We start from the raw sequence: 23,821 nt of genomic DNA on the forward strand, positions 1-23,821 counted from the left end.
ATATATGTATGTATGTTATATGTACACACACATATAGTATGTATGTTATATGTACACACACATATAGTATGCATGTATATATGTAGTAAAGGTATAAAGAAAATGTGTATGTGTGTGCCTGTGTATATGTGTAAACAATATATGGTGGCAAGAAAGATTTTAAGCAGGAGAGCGAAAATATCAGACATACCTTAGAAAAGACTCTAGCATAGAAGGGAGACTGGTGCCCGCACCAAGAGAGGGGACAGCATACACAAAGTGGTGCCACAACAGGTGTCTGTCATAATGACGCGGGGGGGCAGCCTCAGCCTCACAGGGCATTCTTGGGCAAGGGGAAGGCAGACCTGCATGGACAGTTACAGGCAGGGACATGGGGGAGTGAAGCAGTGGCAGTTCCCAGGCAGCTGACAGGCCAGTGAGGGGGTGAGGTAGGTTAACCAGGACACAGGGCACAGTGAGGTCAATGCCAAGGCCAGAATGGCAAGAGGGCCTGACCCAGAGAGAGATTAGGGAAGGCTGCCCAGAGAAAGTGGTATTGAAGGAGGGCTTGGAGGGATGGTTTTGATAGGCAATGATGAGTGTTAGGATTTTTAGGCAAGGAAACAGCACAACATTAGGTGGAAAATGACTGGGCCTGTTCAGGAAACACCTGCAGTTTGGCATAACCCTGAGGAATAGTGGGACATAAATCTGAAGAAATCAGACGCCCACGTGGGAATCATTTGTGGAGAACCTTAAACATCAAGCTGAAGTATATACGTAATTCATGACAAATTCACTTTCATGACCATGAAATCTGCCTTAATCCCGTTGACTTAGGAGCTAAAATAACGGTGAGAGCCAAGCTTGTGATTTGGGGGGGAATATCAATGATATCACTGCTGCTTATTATAGTTCCATAAGTAGAACAGGCTGTCTTGGATATGCGTGAGCTGGCAAATCTGCCTTGACATGGTGTCATAGGGTCTCTCCAACTTTCTCTCACTGTAAAAACTAGTAACTTTGAGTTTGAATAATGGGGTATTCTGCCTTTTTCTCTTTTCTATATGATACAAAAGACAATAATGCATAGGACGGAAACTAAGCATATTCTAATCGGTAAATCCAAACCTGAAAGGTTTATATCTTAACCCTGAGATGTTCCTCCTTCCTAACCCTTCAGTGATATTTATTCTCCCATGATCTACAACATTTCCTAGACTTGAAAATGAGAGGAAAAATTACCATGTTTTTTAAGTATCCAAGTATAGCAAAATATTAAGAACCATAGTATGAGTAACTTCAGAAAATAGCTTAAAAATGGAATTTGTCTCCTCAAATGAACAAAGATAATAAGATATGTATAATACATACTGATATCTGTTTAATTTTTAAAAATTACATATAGTCATTAACAAGATGTAATTTTCCCAGAGCATAGTAATTATTTATCAAAGAATAAATAATAAATCACAAACTAGGCTGAGCTCTTATCCCTCAGGTCAGCATTTCAGAAATGCATTCATTCACTGATTCTATAACACGTTTTTTTTTTTTAGATGGAGTCTCGCTCTGTCTCCCAGGCTGGTGTGCAGTGGTGCCATCTCAGCTCACTGCAACCTCCGCCTCCTGGGTTCAAGTGATTCTCCTGAGTAGCTGGGACTACAGGTGCACGCCACCATGCCCAGCTAATTTTTGTACTTTTAGTAGAGACGGGGGTTATTACTATGTTGGCCAGGATGGTCTCGATCTCTTGACCTCATTATCCCCTTGCCTCAGCCTCCCAAAATCCTGGGATTACAGGCGTGAGCCACTGCGCCCGGCCACACTTTTAAAAAATAATCAACTCCAATTCATTATCTGCAAAATGGCAACATCATCGTCATCATGGCTATGGCTACCCAACCTCCACCTAAGATGAACTGAATAAGATCCCTACCAGAGAGGCTTGTAACTTAGTAGAGGAGATAGGAAGGTAAACAAGCATAATATGGTAAACTTACTAATGCTGGTAATTTCAAAGTGCTATGGGACTATAAAGAAAAGAATGGGCTGGGCACAGGGGCCCACGCCTGGAATCCCAATACTTTGGGAAGCCAAAGTAGGAGGATCGCTTGAGCCCAGGAGTTCAGGACCAGCCTGGGTTTGAACATAGGGAGACTCCATCTGTACAAAAATTTTTTAAAAATTAGCCAGGCAAGGTGGCTGGCACCTGTGGTCCCAGCTACTTGAGAGGCTGAGGTAGGAGGATCACTTAAATCCAGGAGGTCAAGGTACAGTAAGCCATGATCACCCCACTGCACTCCAGCCTTGGTGACAGGGTAAAACCCTGTCAAAGAAAGAAGGAAAAGAAAAGAACGAGAAAGAAAAGAAAGGCTGGGCTCAGTGGCTCACGCCTGTAATCCCAACCCTTTGGGAGGCCAAGGTGGGAGGATCACCTGAGGTCAGGAGTTCGAGACCAGCCTGGCCAACACAGCAAAACCCCATCTCTACTAAAAATTTAAAAATTAGCCAGGTGTGGTGGCTGTATGCCTGTAATCCCAGCTACTCAGGAGGCTGAGGTAGGAGAATCGCTTGAACCTGGGAGGTGGAGGTTGCAGTGAGCCGAGATAGCACCACTGCACTCCAGCCTGGAAGACAGAGCGAGACTCCATCTCAAAACGAGAAAGAAAAAAAAGAAGGGAACAGAAGAAAGAGACAGAGAGAAAAAAGAGGAGGGAAGAGGAGGTAAGAGAGAAAAAAGAGGAGGGAAGAGGAGGTGAGAGAGAAAAAAGAGGAGGGAAGGGGAGGTGAGAAAGAGAAAAGAAAGGAAAGGAAAGGAAGGCTTCAGTGGGGAGGAGCAGAGTGAAGGTGGAGCCTTAGTTGACCACAAAGAGGTTAAGCAGGCAGGAAGGGGTAAGACCACTCTGGGTCTGAATGTAACAAAGGAGAAGAGAATTAAACACCACTAAGTGTTAGGGGCGCTAGCACAGATAGAGAGAAAGAGCAGCAGATGGGTATGAGAAGATAGGAATCCATATCATAAGGGGAAAAACAATTAAATAGTACTCAAAAAAGTAAAATCTTCAAAAATTTGAGATCAAAAACCCTTTCTGCAGCGCTGAAAGAGTAAAAATAATTTTCTGCTGCTATAACAGAATATCACAGATTAGGTAATTTATAAAGAGCAGAAGTTTATTTGGCTCACAGTTCTGGAGGCTGGAAAAGTCCAAAAGCATGGTGCTGGTATTTGGCCAGGGTCATCCTATGGTGCAAAGGTGGAAGGTAGAGGCAAGCACAGAACATGGAGAAAGGTACCAGGGGCCAGACTCCCTTTATCACAATCTACTCTTGAGATAACAAATCTGACATTAATCCCTTCATGAAGGCTCCTCCTAATCACCTCGTAAAGGTCCCACCTTTTAACACTGTTTACAATGGCAATCAAATTTTACCATGAGTTTTGGAGGGGACATTCAAACCACAGCAATGCTCTTGGAACAATCTCAAGAGGCCAGTAAGGATGGAGGGAAAGGAGCAAATGGAAAATACTTTTACAGACTCAAACTCGAAGGGACCTAATGACTGATGGGATTTGTTACTGGGGTTTGAGAAAGGGATTGAGGGTGCTAAGAATGACAGGTTGAAGAAAACTCCAAATGCCTGGCTTGAGCAGCTAACTCAATAGATAGCAATGTCACTGAGATAGGTAATTTGGAAGCAGCACATTTTGTGACAAGAAACTGGAGAGTTCAAGTTGGGACAGGTAGGATGTGGCATGTATAGCAGACACTCAGATGGATCTAAGCACCAGATAAACCCAACTGTTTGGTAGCAAGCAGAGAGGTCTGGACTGGAGACGATAGCCAAGGAGATCCAGCAACATGGAAACATCTAATTAGTGCTTTACATGAACCTGGCTAGGGATACGAGGCCATTAACCAAGCCTCTCTGCAGCTCTAAAGCAACCAGGAATGGAATCATTCAAACTGGTGCAGTGAAAAAGTGACCACCATACCAAGCCTGAGGAACAGGGGTGGGTGAACCAAGCAAGACTTCTTAGCTCAGTGCTTCTCAAAATGCAGTTGGTCAGGACCAAGAGCATCACCCAGGAGCTCTTTGGAAATGGAAATTCTCAGGCCTACCTTAAACGTGCTGAATCCAGAAACCGAGGTAGGCATGGGGAACGGCAACCTTTGTTTAAGAAGCCCTGCAGGTGATGCTCACTGGAGGTTGACAATCTACTGCCTTGGCTAATGCCCCAATTACTTGAGGAATGTAGTGTGAACAAATTAACCCCCAGAGGTGAATTTCCAAAGACACAAGGAAATTAAGTAGAAATAAAGTACACATTTCATACGAAAATATGCATTAGGAACTGTGGCTAATTTTCAACTGTGAGTAATTTTTCCCTGTGAACGCAAAACTTGTAAGGCAAAGTAGATCAAGTCAGTGGCCCACATGGTATGGCTTCCTAACTTAGGAATACAGTTCAGCACTAAAATCTCAAACAATCTAAACGTGAAGAGGATATTTTTCTACTTAGAGACGATGCTACATCACCAAAGGATCCCTTTCTCATTTTCTCACCAGACTCCTCCCTATTGACCAACATAAAGCATTTACGGGATGGCCAGCTAGGGTTACGGCTCTCTGGATATGCAGTAGTCCTCGGGGTCAAACTAATTGACGAGGCTCAAGATGAAACTCTTGACCTGGGCCTAATTTAGCCCCTAAGGAAACTAAGCTAAATCAACTACATATCAAATTTTACATGTAAGGTTGATCTAAGAATGGCTATGAAATGTTTTTTCCAATTGCAAGGATCCTGAAGAAAATCAAACAAAAGCTTGAGGGGGGAAGAAAAGTCAAGAAACACAGAACCAACAGGAAAAAGGAAAGGAAAGTAAAACAATGTTAATATGTCATTTATAACCCAACCTAGAGCCAGAACTACCCTTATCACACAAAAAGGCACTTAGTCACTATTACCTTTTACACAGCTACTCTGTGTCCTTCATCCACAAGCATTGCATCATATCCTTTAATTCAGAATTATAAATAATTATAAGATTATTTATTTTCATAATCAGCATGCATGCAATATATGGCAAAGGCACTGCTGGTCTGGGCAAGATACATTTCCTCTCCCCTCCTATTACAAAAGTCCAGGTCAGGCCTGCATTTTCCTGGGCTCTCTCCCCGATTCCCCAAAGGGGTAGGATACCTTCATATGATCTCCAGCCCTGCACGCAATCCTGCAGAAAAGATTTAACCAATTCTTTGCCATCCTGTTTCAAGAACACACGCTGCATACCTGCCCTTTTTTCTAACATTGTTCTAACATTGTTCATTCCTTCTAACATTCCCTTCCGCTTTGAGGTTGATACGAAGATCTATGATTTAACGTTTGTCAAATACTCTAGGCTTCTCAGATGAAAGACAACATTAAAGTTCAAATAACCAGTGGCTGGCATTACACTAGAAGTGTTGCAGTTTACTGTTTATATTTGGGCTTCAAAAAGGGAAATCAAGGCTGCAAAGATACAGCAGCTAGCTTTTGTACTCTAGTTAAAGGCAGACAGAGTTATCCTAACATTCTTTAATCAACTAGATTTCAACATTAGAAATACAAGGATCCTTATATAAAACACTGGACCATCATTACAGTAAGAAGTATACAAGGAAAAGGATCTTGTTCTCTGCCCTTCTAATCTCTCAGTGGCTTTCCCTCCTCAAACTTCTCTACTGCCTGGTCCCCCACCTCTCAATTTCCTCTTGTAGGAGGAGCCACATGGCAGCTGCCAGCCAACATGTTTATTTTGAGCCAATAGACTGAAAAAAAAAAAAAAGTCAAAAACAAAGCTTTATGTGTATGTTGACACACATGTGAATTCAGGCTGCTGAAAAAAATCACACACAAAGAGCACATTCATGGCCACATACAAGTCCTTGAACATATAAATAGCCATCCTTGACCTATTCTGTGTGAGGTACTGTTATACAGCATGACACTGAATTCTCCATACATATCCTGAGAGGCCAAATGTTACCAGATCCATTTTGCAGATGAAGAAACTGAGGCTCAGAAGGGCTATGACGTCCATCCAACATCACACAGCTAAAAAATGGCAGCGCTAGAATTCCAACCTAGCTATATTTCAAACTCCCAAACCTGGACCGCCTGCTCCAGCACACTGACAGCCAGGAAAAGCTACAGAATTTGCCACACATACCCCTTGGACCACTCAATAAGCCCTCCATGGGATGCATACAGAGGAAGCGTAAATTAAATCAATTTAAATCCGTAAGGGGAGATCCAAAAGCGTATTTTAACATTAACTTGAACCTCCTCCCTACCAAAGCTTTCGTGTTTGTTTTCCCTCATTCCTTAATTGGCTAATTAAGTATTTCATCTTGTCTTTCTCATGCCTTATCTCTAACAAAGCTCACAGCACTGTTCTCAGGCTTAAAATGAATTTTTTAAAAACACAGCATTTGGTGACTAAGTAATGAAGCTCAAATGCAAGAATTTGATGAAATCCTTGTTCAAAAATGACAAGAATATGGAACCCAGGGGGGCTATAATATGTAATCAAAGGGTTGATGTTTGCTTCCCCGGAGCAAATTTAAACCTCTAATAAGGAAGGAAGGCACTGGAAAATAAAAAATCCTCATAGTTCTTGACACTTAGCCCATCCGTTCAGGGCAAATAAGAATTATTCTAAAAATTCTGATTTTTCTCTGAATTCCTTATGGTGCTTCCCTATTAAAAGCCTAACTGTCCTTTCTATTACAGCTACCAGCATGACACAGTATGCACAAATCTGAATAACTCAAGTGTTAATAATAATTACATGTTTAAGCCAATGATGGAAACTGGGCAAATGTCTGGGATTAGTGGGAGTGGGCTTCTCTTCAGCCATTTCTCTCATGCAGGTCCCTACACCTTCAGGAAAACTTCTGTGAAGGGGCTGTTCCTGAGATAAGAAAAGATGCTGGTAGAGGGGCTTGGATAAACACCCAAAGTTGTAGGAAGTCAGTGTGTTCTTCCCACTCTGATGTACTGGCCTGAGGTCACCAAAAGCTGGATGTCTGCCACCTCAGCCAGGACTCAGCCACTATGAACAATACTACAACACCACTTCAGTCCAGTGAAGAGACACCCTTGAAAGGCAAACCACGTACAGAATGCTACTGCATTGTAAGAAACTTTTCTAGGCAGGATTTGCTGAATCCTGGGCCATTAGTCTACAAAAATGTGCAAGATAGTGTTTTCTATTTTCATAAAGTTTCAGAGAAAAGAACGACTTTAGCACAACTGTGCTAAAGCAATAGTAATGACTTAAAAGCAGAGAAAAGTATAACAAACTTAGTGACATACAGATGAACGAATTTTGCACCTCATGGCCACCCATTCAGACTGGGCAAAAAGGGCATCATGCCATTCAGCTCCCGCTCATTAAGGCTGTCATTTCTATGGCACAAGCTTCAACCTCATCACCAAACAATTAGCTAACTTTATAATACAAGGTCCGTAATGCTGCGGTATTACCACACCTACGGCTGTCAAACAGCCTTTTTAAAAAAGGAATCATTGCTTGAATGTGGGGGACAAAAAAGAAGAATCAATACCATTTTAATGAAACCGAGCATGGGCCAATTAAAATGTAGATGATCATACAACAGCTGCTTGTGGTAAAACAGCAGCAGGCATGGAGGTGTATCCAATTAGGGAGGCCTTGGCTCCTCGGTAAGCTACTTGTGGTTCCCATAAGTGGCTAACGTGCTTCTAGATTTATTTCTGATATTGGGGGTGGAGAGAATGCTATCCCAGCAACACTGCACCAACATGGCCATAAATGCCCCTCAGGCCCCCAGATGGCTAGGGAAACTTTCTGTCCTTCTTGTGTTCACTCTGCACGAGCTGTTTCCTCTGCCTGGAATACACCCTCCAGAGGAGCACAACCTCTATCCTCTAAGTGTAGTGCACCCTTCACCAGGACCAAGCTCGCCTCAGACTCTCACAGAACCCCTCTTCCATGTATTATCATTCTTCACCGGCCTTCAAGTTTCCTCCACTAGGCTGCAGACTCCTGCCCTGTGATCTCATTTAGCATCTTTCTATCCTGTTCCTAGCAGAGTAGAAGCTGGGTTTGTTGGATGAATGAGTAAACTAATCCATTTCAAGAAGTTAACACATTGGTGGAAACTCTGTAACTGCCCGCACCTGCAGTCTAGAGATTCCTCACCTTCACAAAGAACCTGCGACAGCCAGTCCCTAGACTTAAGCGGAAACCCCACAATTTCTGAAATTGTAGGTGGGGATGAGAAGGTTGGAGAACAAGAACCCAAGGAAGTGAGAGGGAAAGGGAGATAGGGGCAGCGTTACCTCACTGCTCTCTCCAAACGAAAAGGTGTAAACCCCATTTACAAGTATTCAAACCTGAGATCTGGGGGTCACGTGGGGAAGGAGAGGCTGTTAATACCTACAACTTTGGAAGTTTGAGGTGAAGACCTGATCTGAAATTGTTTGGCCACAGCTTTTTTTCTACGAGCCAGCTCGACCACCCAAGTAGGAGCCTCGACGCCCAGGAGTTCGGTGGCACCACTGGGGCCTAGTGAGAGGGCAGGAAAACTCCGCTCCCCTCAAGATTCCTTCCCGGTGGTGGTGGGGTGTGATTGGGAGCGTCGGGCAGCTGCATCCCCCTACCGCTGCAGCGACCGCGACGTCGTTCGTCTTTCATCCTCTAGCCCCCAAGGTCTAGGTATCTCTAGTTGCCCTTCCGAGGCCCTCTCTCGTTCCCAAAACGCAGAAGGGAATGGAGAGAGGGGACCAGGGTGTGGGTTTAACCACAAACTCCCCAGACTGCGCTCACCTTCCAGCTCGCTCCCGGGACCAGCTTTGCGCCTCACCGCGGGCAGCTCCCACCGCGAGATAACACCCCTGCGGCCCGGCCACCCCGCGCCCCAGGCTGCCCTGCCAGGCGTCCCGGGGCGCCAATCGCAAGTTGGCGTTGCCAGCGTCTGCCCAAGTCATCTGCAGGGCGCCCGGAGCGCCAAGGCGGCCTCCAACCTCGGGCCCAACTCCCGGCTTGGACGGGGCTTACCTGCTTACATGGCCCCCGTGGCGCCCCGGAGTCCCGCGCGGAAAGGCTGTCCTTCGCGGCGGCGGAGCCGATTCCCCACGGAATTGATTCCAGTGACTGGCGGAGGAGGGGCGAAGGGAAGGAGCCGCAGGAGGCGAAAGGGGAGGGAGGTTTCCGCCGCGATCCCGGCGCGAGAGTCCGAGCAGAGGCGCACCGGGGGAGAAAAGGAGAAAAACCTAAGCACGGGGCTGTCCCGCCCGAGGAGGCCGGGGAGGATGGCTCAGCTGGGAGGGGAAGGAGCGCCAGTGGCCACTTGATGTCTGTCTAGGGCTCCCCGAGGACCTGAGCCAGGAGAGCAGGCGGCTGAGCCCGGAGAAGCACAGCAACCTGCCCCCGAGTCTGCGCCCGCTGCGCTCACTCCGCCGAGAAAAAGTTGGAAAGAACTTTGAGGGGCCGGGAGAGCCAGAGCGGCAGGAAATGCGAGCGGCCGGGAGAGGAGGGAGGAAGGGGCCGTGCGAGTGGGAGGGGACGGAGCAGGCGCCGGCGGCCACGGCTCCCCCACCCCAGAGCCGGGCTCCGCGGCCCTGGGGGCCGGGAGGCGGAGGGAGCGCTGGGCGCGCGGCCGGGGGCGGGGAGGAATGCGGCCCGGGAGGGCGCGCGCCGGGGGCGCCGCGGGCGCGCGCTGAAACGTGGAGCCCCAGCTCCCGAGCTCCCGAGCTGGAGGCGCGCCGTCCTTGGGGACGTCACAGCGCTGGAATCCGAGGAATGCCGGGCTGCAGGAGCTCCTTCTGCAGGCCCGGAGAAGTCGCACACTTTTAATGGGGTAGTTTTGGAAAATGTTTTAAAAGGTGGGGGCCGAGGACGGAGGACCGGATGAAACTCCCTGGAGTAAGAGACGTGGAAGTGGAGAGAGCAAGGCGACCGCAGCCACCCCAACCCTGGGCTGCTCCCGCCGTTGGGGAGAAAGAGGCAAGGCAAGGAAGAGCCCACCTAGACTTCCGAGGACCGCAGAGACGGGGCGGCGGCAGGAACTTGCTCACCCCGACCTACATTCAGAATAGTCCACCTTATATTGGGGAACCCTCCAAGCAGGACGTTTCATGCAGCCACCCCACAGGGGAAAACAGACCAGGAGAAAGTAAGGTGGCCTCACCAAGTAGGCAATCTCAGAGATCTCTCCCTAGAATCTCTGGGTACTGGACCCGGTGTCTTAGCCTTCTCTCCCTGCCCCCTCCCGCCCCGTAGGAATGATAAAAAGCAGCCTGTGTGCTGAGAGTTGGAAAATGTCGTTTTCCCGGTTTGTTCCATGCCACAGAATCGCCCCACCCTGCCTGGGTAGGCACTGGGAGGGAACTTCCTTAGCACTTTCGGAGGTGGAGTTAATGAGACGCAGCTGGTATGATGGAAAAAGCTCGGAGCCAGGCGACTGAACCTGGGTTTTAGGCCCTGCCCGATTGGATAACTGAGGAGTATCCCAGCCCCTGAGATCCTAGGTTTCTGTAGCTGCAAAATTAAATAATTTGTCTAGATTTCTGTGGTCCTTTGCATTGCTACAAACATGTCTTGGGATTTATCTCGGTAAGATTCCAGTCCTTTGTTGAAAAGGGACCTTGAAGTCGTTGGCACACAATGTATTGTCCCAAATCACTTCAGTGTCCGGCAACTCATGCAAAAATTCCTGGCCTCTTGGGGAAGAGAATTGGAAACCAAAAAGCGCGGTGGCTCACACCTGTAATCCCAGCACTTTGGGAAGCCAAAGCTGGGGGATTGGCTGAGCTCAGAAGTTCGACACCAGCCCGGGCAACACGGTGAAACCCCGTCTCTACTAAAATTCAAAAAATGTTTCGGGGGTGGCGGCGTGCGCCTGTAGTCCCAGCTACTCTGGGGCTGAGGCAGGTTAATTGCTTGAACTTGGGAGGCGGAGGTTGCAGTGAGCCGAGATCGCGCCACTGCACTCCAGCCTGGGCTACACGGCCAGACTCCTCTCAAAAAAATAAAATAAAATAAAATAAAATAAAATAAATAAATCCGTAGTGACTCTGATTTTCTTCGAGCATCTGCCAATCTCTAGAACTGTAAATTAGAGAAAACGCCGAGTGCAATGCAAAAGTGATGGAAAGAAAAGGTTGAAGGGAAATCAACTTTCTCACATTTTAAAGGAAATAGCTGTACAGACGTGCTGGGTTTCCAAAGAAAACATTAGGCAGTGCCTGACTGTGTTCCAGAAAGTGTGGAAAGCACTCCCCCATTCCTAGATGAGGAAAGTGAGGCATGAAGAAATTACCTGTCTCACTGAGGGTCATACAACTAGGAAGATATGATCAGGGCCCTAGTCTGTCAGGCCTAAAGTGCATGCTCTTCATCTCTTTGAAATTGGACCCAAACAGGATTAGGATTAAAGATAAGAAAATGCCTTCAGGATCTCAATGTAAAACTCTGGCCTTTGCTCTTTCCTGGGAGATGGGAGACCTCTTGCTTGGTGTCTTTTCTAGTGAAAAGACACTAGGAAATATATTGTGTTGCTCTAACATCACTGTGCTACCAAACTGAGCACAGCACCCTGAGGCTGTTGTGGCATAAAAGAAGCAGCAAAGGACTTGTTGTCCTTCTTGGGCAGACACAAGGGTTCCGGTTCTGCCTCTGACCAGCCTTGGGACCCTGATCAAGGCACTTCACCTCTAGGCCTGAATTTATTTTCTAAGTAGAGTGTGGCAAAGAGGGCAGAGCTTGGTTGGAATAGTTCATCTCTGAGGTCTTTCCCAGGACTAAACTTCCATCAAAGTACTCTTCTCCAGATAGATGGCATGCCTGTGGAGGAAGCTAAGCAATAAAGCCAGTGGATAAAGCCAGTGTCTGGGGACAGGACTGTTTTCACACCGCCTTCAGATGAAAATGAATGTTGAGACTCCAATGAATGTGGCTGAGTGTTCAATGATAAGTAAAGCTAAGATTTAGCACTAACCCTGTGGACACATTTTAAAAATTTAGATAATTTTACTTACAGGAAGACAGTCTGGGCAACATGGCGAAACCCCAACTCTACACAAAATACAAAAATTAGTCAGGTATGGTAGCTCGAGGCTTGTAGTCCCAGCTACTAGAGAGGCTGAGGTGGGAGGATTGCATGAGCCTGAGAGACCGAGGCTGCAATGAGCTGAGATCACACCACTGCACTCCAGCCTGGGTGACAGAGTGAGATCCTCTCTTGAAAAAGAAAAAAAATATGCGTTATTAACTTAAAAGCCTATAGAGTGTATCTGACTAGCCATATTTCTTTTTCTTTAGAATAGATCACAGAAAGGCAATACAAATAAGAATATTTTCTAAGGCCGGGCGCGGTGGCTCACACCTATAATCCCAGCACTTTGGGAGGCCGAGGCGGGTGGATCACGAGGTCAGGAGATCGAGACCACAGTGAAACCCCTTCTCTACTAAAAATACAAAATTAGCCAGGCGTGGTGGTGGGCGCCTGCAGTCCCATCTACTTGGGAGGCTGAGGCAGGAGAATGGCGTGAACCCAGGAGGTGGAGCTTGCAGTGACCCGAGATCGCGCCATGGCACTCCAGCCTGGGCGACAGAGCAAGGCTTCGTCTCAAAAAAAAAAAAAAAGAATATTTTCTAAATAGAAAGTACAGCTTGAAGTGACAAAAACCTTTCATTCTCAGGATAAATATATAAAAGCTAGTTTCAAGCTTCTTTCAAAAAGAAAAAAGAAACCCATTTCCTAAATCTTTGTCACACTCAAGTCTCCTTATACTACATCAGGGTGAAAAGGAATTCGACTCATGGAATAGGTCCTGAACACATCACTACATGTTTGCTTTAAAGCTTTGCAATTGTAAGAACTTATCAATATTACATTTCTCAAAGCAATTACCAGATTCTTATAAGCCCAATTCAAACTACAAATACAAAGAAGAATCCCGTGGGCTTCCACAATTCCTCCCAGCCCCAATGTGTTCCTCTCATTAATGCATTCATTTTACACCTTCAAAGATGCTGAAGCCACTGAAAGCAGAACAAGTTCCCCAAATCAAAGCCAACTGGAAAGTAAGCCTGCTTTGTTAAGAAAACTCTGATGATCTCTAGGGGCCTTTTACAAATTTTTAAGTTTTATATGTACATGTATGTATATAGTCCAGCTTAATTCCAATTCCTAAAAGGATGTTTAGCAACTTGGAGTAATGGAGAGAAGTGGGAAGCTTTTTCAAATATACATCCTCTCTGAATCCTCTGCTTCTGTATCTTATGCCCTGGGTCTAGGGTAGAGATGGGTTATGGTGGGAGTTGGGAGGAGTGTAATATTTTTAGACAGTGTTTTAGGAAGATACAATTCACATTCAATAAAAAGCACAACTCTTAAGTGTAGATGCAGCTTGAAGACCTTTTCATGTGTATACATGCATGGGGCCACCACCCAGGTCAAGATATAGAAAACGTCCATCTCCTCAGGAAATTCCCTTGTGTGACTTTTTAGTCAGTATCACCCTTCTACCACCATGGATTTGTTTTGCTGGTTATTAAACTTCATATAAATGGAATCATATTTGTGTGTGTGTGTGTGTGTGTGTGGTGTGGTGTGTAATACATATAAATTTGGAGGAGGAGGAAACACCAGAGCTCCTCCTCTCTACACATGTGAGGACACAATGAGAAGCCTGCAAGCCAAGGAGAGAGATCTCACCAGAAACCAACCCTTACAGCACCTAATCTTGGACTTTCAGCCTCCAGAACTGTGAGAAAATTAATTTCTGTTGTGTAAGCTACATAGCCTGTGGTATTTTGTTACTGTTTCGTTATTGCAGCTCAGTCAGACTAATACACCGAGGTAAGTGGTTGCGGGGTAAGTGTGTGTGTGTGTGTGTGTGTGTGTGTGTGTGTGTGTGTGTGTGTCTGCTTTAACATGGAAATAAACTTGAGACTTCAAGTGCCCTGTATTTATATGTGTACCAGGCCATGCAGTACCTAAGTACATGATAGAGCCAAGATTCAAACCTGGACCTTTCTCATTCCAGTTTGTGTTCTTTCTATTCCACCTTGTTGCTGTACAGATTATTCAGCACTGCTGTATGTCAGGAATAGCATTAGGAAGTAGCAGAAAGTATATGGTGAAAACAGAAAATAAAAGCATTAGCAAGATAGTGTGTGTGTTTAAAATTCTCCATCACCAAAGTTTACCAGGGGACAGCTGGTACTTCGCTGATATCAAATTGGGGTAATGGGAAAAGACATGTCTGGAGTACGTGTCTCCAGTTGTTTTAAATCCTTCTTTTTTCACGTTCTTCTGAGCGCAGCCATTACAAAGGGGAGTGGAAGCTGCTACTGTAAGATCAGAGAACAAGTCCTTTCGAAGGACTTTGATACCTAGGTACTATTTATTTTGTTAGTTTCCAAGATTCCTATGAGTTAATGTCCTCACCTATTAGCCACGTGGAGTCCAAGAGGCGTCAGGTTGGGTGAAGGGTCCTTCTAGCACACAGGAGGCTGCCTCTGGCGGGCCTGAAGTCACATTTTCTTGACTTTCTCAGAATGTGGAATAGTTTTTGTTCGTGACATCAATCTCCAAAAGTCAGAAATACCCTAATTTCTAAGAATAGTTAGTTATTAATTTCTCATTCATGAACTGAGCTAAACTGTTCTTCGTGCTGTTTATATCTCTACCTGGGCCAACTCCTAGGAAGGTACACAGCTATAGAATTCACTGTGAGTGGCCAAGGAGCCAATAACACCTTCACGGAGTTGAATGAGAGCAGGTAAATGATATCTGTAATTAGCCCCATTTAGTACTCTCCAAAATACCTACTTGCTGCCATTTTGTGGCATGATAGTGAGAATAGATATTAGGTGAAATCATTGTTCATAGGAGATAAAGTGATGATGTTGTAAAAAGTCAAGTTAGCCAGGACATTTCTGACTTAAATAGTCAACAGATACCCCTCCTCCAATATGTACATTTTTTTTAGTCCTTTCCCACCAAACTTGGAAGAAAATTATTTGAAGCTAGGAGTCTTTCCCTTCTCATAATGATGATGTTTAGATCAAAGGGGCCAGTCCAGATGTAGCCCTCTTGCTGACACTGTCTCTGGTAATATTTGTAGCTGCACTGACTTTCTGAAACTGTATCTTATTTGAAGGAAAAGCCTGAGAAAGCTGAATTTAAGTCTTTTTTTTTTTTCTTTTGAGACAGAGTCTCACTCTGTCACCAGGCCGGAGTGCAGTGGCGCGATCTCGGCTCACTGCAACCTCTGCCTCTGGGGTTCAAGCAGTTCTCCTGCCTCAGCCTCTCCAGTAGCTGGGACTACAGGAGCCTGTCACCACGCCAGGCTAATTTTTTGTATTTTTAGTAGAGATGGGTTTCACCGTGTTAGCCAGGATGGTCTCCATCTCCTGACCTCTGATCCACCGGCCTTGGCTTCCCAAAGTGCTGGGATTACAGGCATGAGCCACCACACCCGGCCAGATTTAAGTCTTATGGGCCACTGACTCTTCTCCTTATAGTAGTCCTAGATGCCAAATTTAAATAAAGCCCTAAATAGGTGGCAATTCATTCATTTGTCTTTTATATCCCTAGTTCTGGGCTTTTTAAAAAATTTTATGCATGGACTATGAGACTTAATGTTTTTTTTTAATGTACTTTAAACACCTAGATAAAGCTGTCAACAAATAATAATGCAAACCAGATTCATGAAGATGCAAACTGGATAGGCTTCCAGACTGGTTACAAATTCAGAGGTGTCTGGAAAGTCAAATAAGAACAGGGATGCATTTGTTTCCGATATCAGCAGCTGTGACCAGAACACCTCTCTGAGAGGTATGGGACCTGAAAGGAATCTTCTGCTGTGATTAGTGACAAGGAACAACCTTCACTGGGGGAGGAAGGATCGAGTTGTGTTTGGGATGCCTTTCTAAAGAACATGGCCACCCCAGCCTGAAGGGGTGAGATAGGGTTACCCACGGGGTATGGGCAGGGTTGTGTAAGAGAATCCAACAGCACTAAATCAAAACCTCCCCCAAGACCGGCTGCTTCCTGGCTGCCTCCCCTAGAATGAGGGGGTGACTCAGAGTGTGACTGACTCTGGTACTTCAAACATGTCTGAGTAACTCCCACAGACCTGGACAAGGGCAATTAGGGGACTGGTTTGGAATGACCACTGAGGATTGAAAGATACTTCCTGTGGCCAGCAGAGAAAAGGCAAATTGTCTGGGAAACTCAGTTTTAAGATGTCTTCTGCCTCAACTGTGAGGCAGATGTGTCTTCTAAAATAATAAATCTTAGAAGCCAGAAAAAGCGGATTAACATATGAAGGCAAACGCTGGACTTCACTCCATGATGGACACCTCTGATTTCATGTGACGTGCAAGACAAAAATTTTCAAATGGTGAAAGAGGAACTGACTTTTTTTTTTTTTTTAATAGAGACTTGCTCTGTTGCCCAGGCTGGAGTGCAGTGGTGCATTCTCAGCTCACTGCAGCCTCTGCTTCCCAGCTTCTAGCAATTCTCCTGCCTCAGCCTCCCAAGTAGCTGGGGTTACAGGCGTGCACCACGCCTGGCTGATTTTCATGTTTTTAGTAGAGACTGGGTTTCACCATGTTGGCCAGGCTGGTCTCAAACTCCTGAACTCAAGTGATCCACTTGCCTCGGACCCCCAAAATGCTGGGATTGCAGTACGTGCCACTGCACCCAACCCAACAAATATCTATTAAATGAAAAAATAAAATTTTTATTATTTTTATTAGAGTCTCTTCTCACATAAAAATAACTAACTGCCAGTTATTTTCCTGTTCTCTGAATTCTACATCTATTCTGTTATTTAATCTTTATAACAACCCTAGGAGATAGGTGTTACAATCGCTTCTGTTTATAGATAAGGAAACTAAGGATTAAAGAGATGAAGTAACTTGTCTCTTTTTGTTGCTATTTTAGATTGTGGCTTTCCATATTTTCAGGATTTTGATATTTGTTTGTTTATTTAGGATCTCGTCACATAGAGTTGAGACACCCACACTTTATCCTCATTCCTAACACATTCTCTTCCTCACTTCAAGCACTGCCTCTCTTCTGTTTATTTTATAATTCCTCCCCCTTTATTTCCTATTCCTAACTGAATTCTCCCCCTGCAGCCCGGCTTCTGAGGTAGTGCAGCTAAGGCAGTAAATAACAGTTAATCACATATAGTATACTCAAGCTAGATTGCCTGGGCAGACCTCCTTGTTTTGCAGTTTACTAGCTGTGTGACATTAGGAAGTTCTCTGTCATTATTACTTGAACCATTTGCTTCCCACCATTTTGTTTTTTCTTCCGGTATTTCTAATAGACTTGGACACCTGATTATCAAATTCCTTCATTTTCTCTCTCTTTTTTTTCCATTCTCTATCCTTATCCTTTCCTAGTGCATCCCAGGGTAACTCCTTGACTTAATCTTCCAGATCATGTCTTTACTAGATACCTTGAATATTGAAGCAATCCATCAAATTCTTTATTCAATAACTGCAGGATTCATTCTCAATATTTCTAATTCTTTTACTGAACTGTCTATTCTCACTCCATGTTTCTAGTATCTTCTCTCAACTTTTCAAGCATATTTGTTCTTTTCTTAAATGTTATTTTTAATTGATACATAATAAATGTACATATTTTCATGGCACTTGTGATAATTTAATACATTCATATAATTTATAAAGATCAAATCAGTTAAATTGAAATATTCATCACCTTAAATCAATCTTTCTTTCTTTTTTTTTTTTTTTTTTTTTGAGACAATCTTGCTCTGTCGCCCAGGCTGGAGTGCAGTGGCACAATCTTGGCTCACTGCAACCTCCACCTCCCGAGTTGAAGCAATTCTCCTGCCTCAGCCTCCTGAGTAGCTGGGACAACAGACACATGCCATCACAGCCAGCTAATTTTTTTTTTTTTTTTTGTATTTTTTGATAGAAACAAGGTTTCACCATGTTGGCCAGGCTGGTCTTGAACTCCTGTCCTCAAGTGATCTGCTCGCCTCGGCCTCCCAAAGTGCTGGGTGGGATTACAAGCATGAGTCACTGCCCCCAGCCAAATATTTCTTTTCTTTAGGCTAGAAATTACTTTCGTCCAGATATTTTGAAATATATGACAGATTATTGTTATTATTTTTGTTTGAAATTCTTTCTCTGTTTTCCATTAGTTCTACTTTCTCTGGTGTAAGCTGTTTCATTGGTTTGTTGTTTCTCAAACTTATAGTTCTCAGAATTTTCCCTCTGAGCTTATCCTTGTTCCTTTGGGACCATTTGCTGCCTTACTAGTAAAATGCATCCATGGAAAGGGGCACAATTCTAGCCAAGCGTGTGCTTCTCCAGGTGAATTGGTGTCTATGTTGTTGTGTGTGATTATGTGAGGGGCATAGCATTGTGCTCAACTGGTCTCCAAGCAACCTCTGAATAATCTTTTATTGGACACAGCCACTCTATCATAAGTGGATGCCCACAGGGTAGTGACAGCAGGGATGTATGTGTGTGTGCGGTGGTGAGGGGGTTAATTCTCAGGGGCTGGTCAAACCAACTACATGCATTGCCATCTGCTCATAAGCACACTAAGCTATGGCACTGCCTTGCAGCTATCATGCTGCCACTAGCCTGTACTGCTAATGTCCTGCCTCTGCAGTACCAAGTTGGGAGTGGCACAGGGAATCTGCCTAGGGGATGAGGAAAGGGCAAAACTAAAACAAAATTTTTCCCAAACCCGTTCCCTATTTGTGACCTCAGACCCACTTCACCTGCTAACCAGTGGACCAAATCAACTTCTATCTACCCCAAGGATTTCTGCGGTTTGTTGCTGAGCACAGCCTGAAGATCCATCTTCTCCTCTATCTTCCTGCGGCATCTCCTCCAGGAGACAACTCTCAGTCTGTGCTGCTGTGCTGCTTGTCTTTTCTTCCTTTTTTTTTTTTTTTAATATATGGAATCTCACTCTGTTATTAGGCAGGAGTGAGGTGGCGCGATCTCGGCTCACTGCAACCTCTGCCTCCCGGGTTCAAGCAATTCTCCTGCCTCAGCCTCCTGAGTAGCTGGGACTGCAGGCGCATGCTATCACGCCCAGCTAATTTTTGTATTTTTAGTAGAGATGGGGTTTCACCATGTTGGCCAGGATCGTCTTCATCTCCTGACCTTGTGATATGCTCCCCTCGGCCTCCCAAAGTGCTGGGATTACAGGCGTGAGCCACCGCGCCCGGCCCATGCTGCTTTTCTGTCTTGTCCCAAACCAGAAGCCTTGTAAGTTTTCCAAGATCACCAAGCTGGTCAATGATAGAGCTGGGGCTCAAACTCTAATCTGTCTGACTCTAAACCTTGTGCTTTTAACCCCAGCACTACACTCAGGGTTTTCTGAGACTTTAAAGATGATCACATCAAATTATCCATCCAGCTAAAAATTTTATTTTATTCCAAATATTTCCTACTAAAGGAAACCTGGGCTCCTTGGAGAAATGGCAAACTCTTGGTCTCAGGGTGAAAAATATACAAGAAAACTTACAAAAGAACATGGGTTTTGGTGTGATTTTTTCCTTCACTGTGTTAATGTGGTATATCACATTAGTGGATTTCATATGTTGAACTGTCCCTGCATCTGAGGAATAAATCCCAGTTGGTCATGGTGTATGCTCCTTTTACCGTGCTGTTGAATTTGTTTTTTTGCTAGCATTTTGTTGAGGATTTTTATATGTATACTCAAAAGGAATATTGGCCTGTAATTTTCTTTTCTTGTGCGTCCTTGTCTGGCTTTGGTATCAAGGTTTCAAAATAAATTGCAAAGCCATAGTATTTAAAACAGTATGCTACTGGCATAAAGACAGACATATAAGCCTATGAAATAAAACAGAGGTCCCAGAAAAAAATCCACACATATATGGTCAATTGATCTTCAACAAGGGTGCCAAGAATACATAATGAGGAAAGGACAGTTTCTTCAACAGATTGTGTTGGGAAAACTGGATATCCCCAAGCAAAAGAATGAAATTGGACCCATATCTTACACCATATGCAAAAATAAACTCAAAACACACTAAATATTGAAATGTAAGTCATGAAACTGTAAAAGTTCTAGAAGAAAACATAGGGGAAAACTTCACGATACTGGCCTTGGCAATGATTTCGTGCATATGATCCCAAAAGCACAGGTAACAAAAGCAAAAACAGACAAGTGAGACTACATCAAACTAAAAAGCTTCTGCACAGCAAAATAATCAACAGAGTGAAAAGGTAACCTACAAAATTGGAGACAATATTTGCAAACTGTATATCTAATAAGGGGTTAATTCCCAAAGTATGTAAGGAACTCTTACAACTCAGTTGCAAAAATCTAACAACCTGATTTTAAAAAGGGCTAAAAACCTGAATAGAGGCTGGGTGTGGTGACTCACACCTATAATTCCAGCATTTTGGAAGGCCGAGGAGGGAGGACTGCTTGAACCTAGGAGTTCAAGACCAGCCTGGGCAACAAAGTGATATCCGAGATCCCATGTACACAAAAAATTAAAAAAATTGGACATGGTGCATGTGTCTGTTCTCCCAGCTACAGAAGGGCGCATCGCTTCAGCCCAGGAGACTGAAGTTGCAGTGATGACCCGTGATCACAGCCCTGTACTCCAGCCTGGGCAACAGAGCAAGATCCTGTCTCAAAAACAAAATAGCACAAAAGTTATACATAACCAAAGGACCAAATGACTCAGAAACTACCTTGAAATACACTTTCATGGCTAAAGAAGGGCCAATTTTACCATCAACAGGAAAATAATGGCAATTAGTTGAAACACTTCAACTGTGTTTAAATCCCTAAGTTCACGATGGTGCAAGAAAAAAAAAGTAATTAGTCACCAATGGAACCAACTTATTATTTTGAAAAACGATAAATGGATAGAAATAAATCATTCATCTTTTTTTCTAAAAAATGATACCACTGATTAGTCATAGATGAGAATGGGTTTTCCATTATGGAAATATTCTAGATAATAAATGAAAAAGGATGATAAAATTAAAATACCACCATTTTGTGGCTTTTGGTACAGTAATGGATCCAGGCATGACTATCAGTGGTTGCTAACATGACAAAAACAGAGATGATCAGACATTAGACTATCACCATTTTGTTCTGAGAAAGATAGCCTCAATCTACCAAATCTGTAGAGCAGATTCAGCTACCAATTTACAAAAAATACCTGAACAAAGGAATATGTTCAAACAGACTCAGAGACGCAATCAGAGGAATCTAGGCTGTGGAAAACAATAGCAAATTTTTTTTTTTTTTGAGACGGAGTCTCACTGCTGCCCAGGCTGGAGTGCAATGGCACGATCTCGGCTCACTGAAACCTCCGCCTCCCAGGTTCAAGTAATTCTTCTGCCTCAGACTCCCAAGTAGCTGGAATTACAGGTGCGTGCCACCACGCCCGGCTAAATTTTGTATTTTTAGTAGAGATGGGATTTCACCATGGTGGCCAGGCTGGTCTCGAACTCCTAACCTCGTGATCCACCCGCCTCAGCCTCCCAAAGTGCTGGGATTACAGGCGTGAGCCACCACGCCCGGCAGGAAATTTTTTTTTAACAAATACATTTCAAAAAGAGGGGGAACAAATAGGAGTACTCTATAGATTAAAAAGGACTTAAAAGACATATCAACTATCTATCTCATGTGACCTTACTTGTATCCTAATTCAAATAAACTCTAAAACAAGAAAGCCATTTATGCTCTTTATGAAGAAATTTGCACACTGGCTGGATAGATATTAAGGAATTATTGTAAAATATTTTAGATGTGATAGCTGGCATTGAGTTTATGTAACATTAAAGAATCCTTCTCTTTTAGAGTATTATTGAAATACTTATGGTTGAAATGTTCTGGCATCTGGGTTTTGTTTCCAAATAACACAGACATGGGAAAGGGGTATATAGGCAAAGCAAGATTGGGCAATGAGTTGATGACTCATGAAGCTGGGTGATGGCTATGTGGGGGTTAATTATACTATTATGTATTATGTTTAATTTTGAAAAAGTATGAAATAATAATAAAGTTAAAAACCTAAAAGTTTTTAAGAGAAATATATATTACAAAATAATATATTTTCTTTTTCTCTCTCTCTCTCTTTTTTTTTTTTTTTTTTTTGGTGAGACAAGGTCTTGTTCTGTTACCCAGGCTGGAGTGCAGTGGTGCAATCTTGGTTCACTGCAATCTCTGCTACCCTCCTACCCCCATGGCTCAAGCGTCCATCCTCCATCCTCCCACCTCAGCCTGCTAAGTAGCTGGGACCATTTTATTGTATTTTTAGTAGAGATGGGGTCTCTGCCATGTTGCCCAGGCTAGTCTCGAAATCCTGGGCTCAAGTGATCCACCTGCATCGGCCTCCCAGAGCAAAATAATATATTTTCATCTCAAACAATGTTGAAGTACATAATTAAAAGATGGGTTGTCTGTTTTGATATCCCATTTCTGTCTTAACATTCCCTGAAGGTAATCACTTTAACTCTATACTGATGCAGACAAAAGTTTTATGTGGTATGTATTATATAAATAATGTATTATGAATTATATATTTATATATGTAAATATATTTTGATGCAAGAAAAATCTGAAGTTAAACCTTAGCTACTATAAAATGCTGACTGTGAGTCATTCCACATATTTGGGTGAGACAAGTTTTTTTTTTTTAGTTATATATGTATATATATATATATATATATCTCAAACTGTTAACAATATGGAGAAAAGTGACATTTTTGTTGGTGTCAAATTTGGGATTTGAACTTGTCAGAGTAAGTTCAAAGGTGTCTCACTTTGGAGAAAACACAATATAAAAATTTTGAACTTACGAAACAAATTTGTTTTGGATTGGTTAGAAGGAATCTTCACTAAAAACAAGTAGCCATATATAACCAAGGGCTCCCTTAAATTGTGAATGCCACTACTGATTTTGATTTTTACATTTTGTTAAATTTAGGCACAACTTTACAAACACACCCCATGGTTTATGATCTGGATTTGAAGTCAGGAGACCTGAGTCTTTAGACAGGTAACCTTTGTGTTGGGCATAAAAATAACTGGTCAATCCTATTAATTCAGTTTTTTTAAGCATCTGTTTCAGCTAGAATTGTTCCATTAAAATAGCTAGTTAGTAAATCACAGTAGACTTGTCCAGGAAAGAAAAGGAGAAAATAAACTCGGCAAGCATAAAAACATAAATAGAAACTAAGTATCATATCTACATGGACCTTACTTAAAAAGACTTAGTGTGTGCATGGATCTTATTATTCTGTCTTCTGACAAGAAGCAGAAAGATGAATTTGTAGGGTCCTTATGCATGCAGGGAACCACCTACTCCCACCCATCTGTTAAGGCAGCTCCATATGTTCTACAAAATCAATGTAATCTTTTTGTTAAAATTTCTCCAATTAGGGAGATAATGTTTCTGTCCAGTTTTCCCACAAACTCCTTATAAACAGTAGAATGTAATCTATTACAAGCTATATGCAGATTAATATTGACTAATGTGGATAATTTTTTCCCATGTACATAAGGTAATGTTAACATGAATTCCAAAACTTTTTTTTTTTTTGAGATGGGCTCTCACTTTGTTAGCCAGACTGAAGTGCAGTGGTGCAATCATAGCTCACCGCAGCCTTGAGCTCCCAGATTCAAGTGATCTCTTGCTTCAGCCACCTGAGTAGTTGGGACCACAGATGCATGCCACCATGCCAGGCTGATTTTTTTCTTTTTAGTAGGGATGGGGTCTCTCTATGTTACCCAGGCTGGTGTC

The 23,821-nt window shown here is 43.5% G+C and overlaps 1 protein-coding gene across 5 annotated transcripts in view, besides 3 other annotated features; it reads right to left on the reverse strand.

Moving 5' to 3' along the window:
* The window catches only part of PTPN14 (protein tyrosine phosphatase non-receptor type 14), a 202,903-nt gene extending 193,415 nt beyond the window's left edge, over window positions 1-9,488 (reverse strand). For 4 of the 5 annotated variants that reach the window (NM_005401.5, XM_017001941.2, XM_024448759.2 and 1 more), the window contains exon 1: window positions 9,069-9,488. The gene's annotated coding sequence lies outside the window, so the exon portion shown is untranslated. Of the gene's footprint in view, window positions 1-8,837 lie in introns of all 5 variants that reach the window. The other variant, XM_047426370.1, reaches the window with a different exon arrangement.
* Window positions 8,151-8,972: an enhancer, noted in NCBI's record as "NANOG-H3K27ac-H3K4me1 hESC enhancer chr1:214723608-214724429 (GRCh37/hg19 assembly coordinates)". NCBI's record gives its function as "activates a minimal SCP1, AML or CMV promoter by ChIP-STARR-seq in primed H9 embryonic stem cells {active_cell/tissue: H9 hESC(primed)}" and the evidence as "EXISTENCE:reporter gene assay evidence [ECO:0000049][PMID:30033119]".
* Window positions 8,973-9,793: an enhancer, noted in NCBI's record as "NANOG-H3K27ac-H3K4me1 hESC enhancer chr1:214724430-214725250 (GRCh37/hg19 assembly coordinates)". NCBI's record gives its function as "activates a minimal SCP1, AML or CMV promoter by ChIP-STARR-seq in primed H9 embryonic stem cells {active_cell/tissue: H9 hESC(primed)}" and the evidence as "EXISTENCE:reporter gene assay evidence [ECO:0000049][PMID:30033119]".
* Window positions 9,794-10,614: an enhancer, noted in NCBI's record as "NANOG-H3K27ac-H3K4me1 hESC enhancer chr1:214725251-214726071 (GRCh37/hg19 assembly coordinates)". NCBI's record gives its function as "activates a minimal SCP1, AML or CMV promoter by ChIP-STARR-seq in primed H9 embryonic stem cells {active_cell/tissue: H9 hESC(primed)}" and the evidence as "EXISTENCE:reporter gene assay evidence [ECO:0000049][PMID:30033119]".

This window comes from Homo sapiens, chromosome 1, assembly GCF_000001405.40.
Source record: "Homo sapiens chromosome 1, GRCh38.p14 Primary Assembly".
NCBI classification, from domain to species: domain Eukaryota; kingdom Metazoa; phylum Chordata; class Mammalia; order Primates; family Hominidae; genus Homo; species Homo sapiens.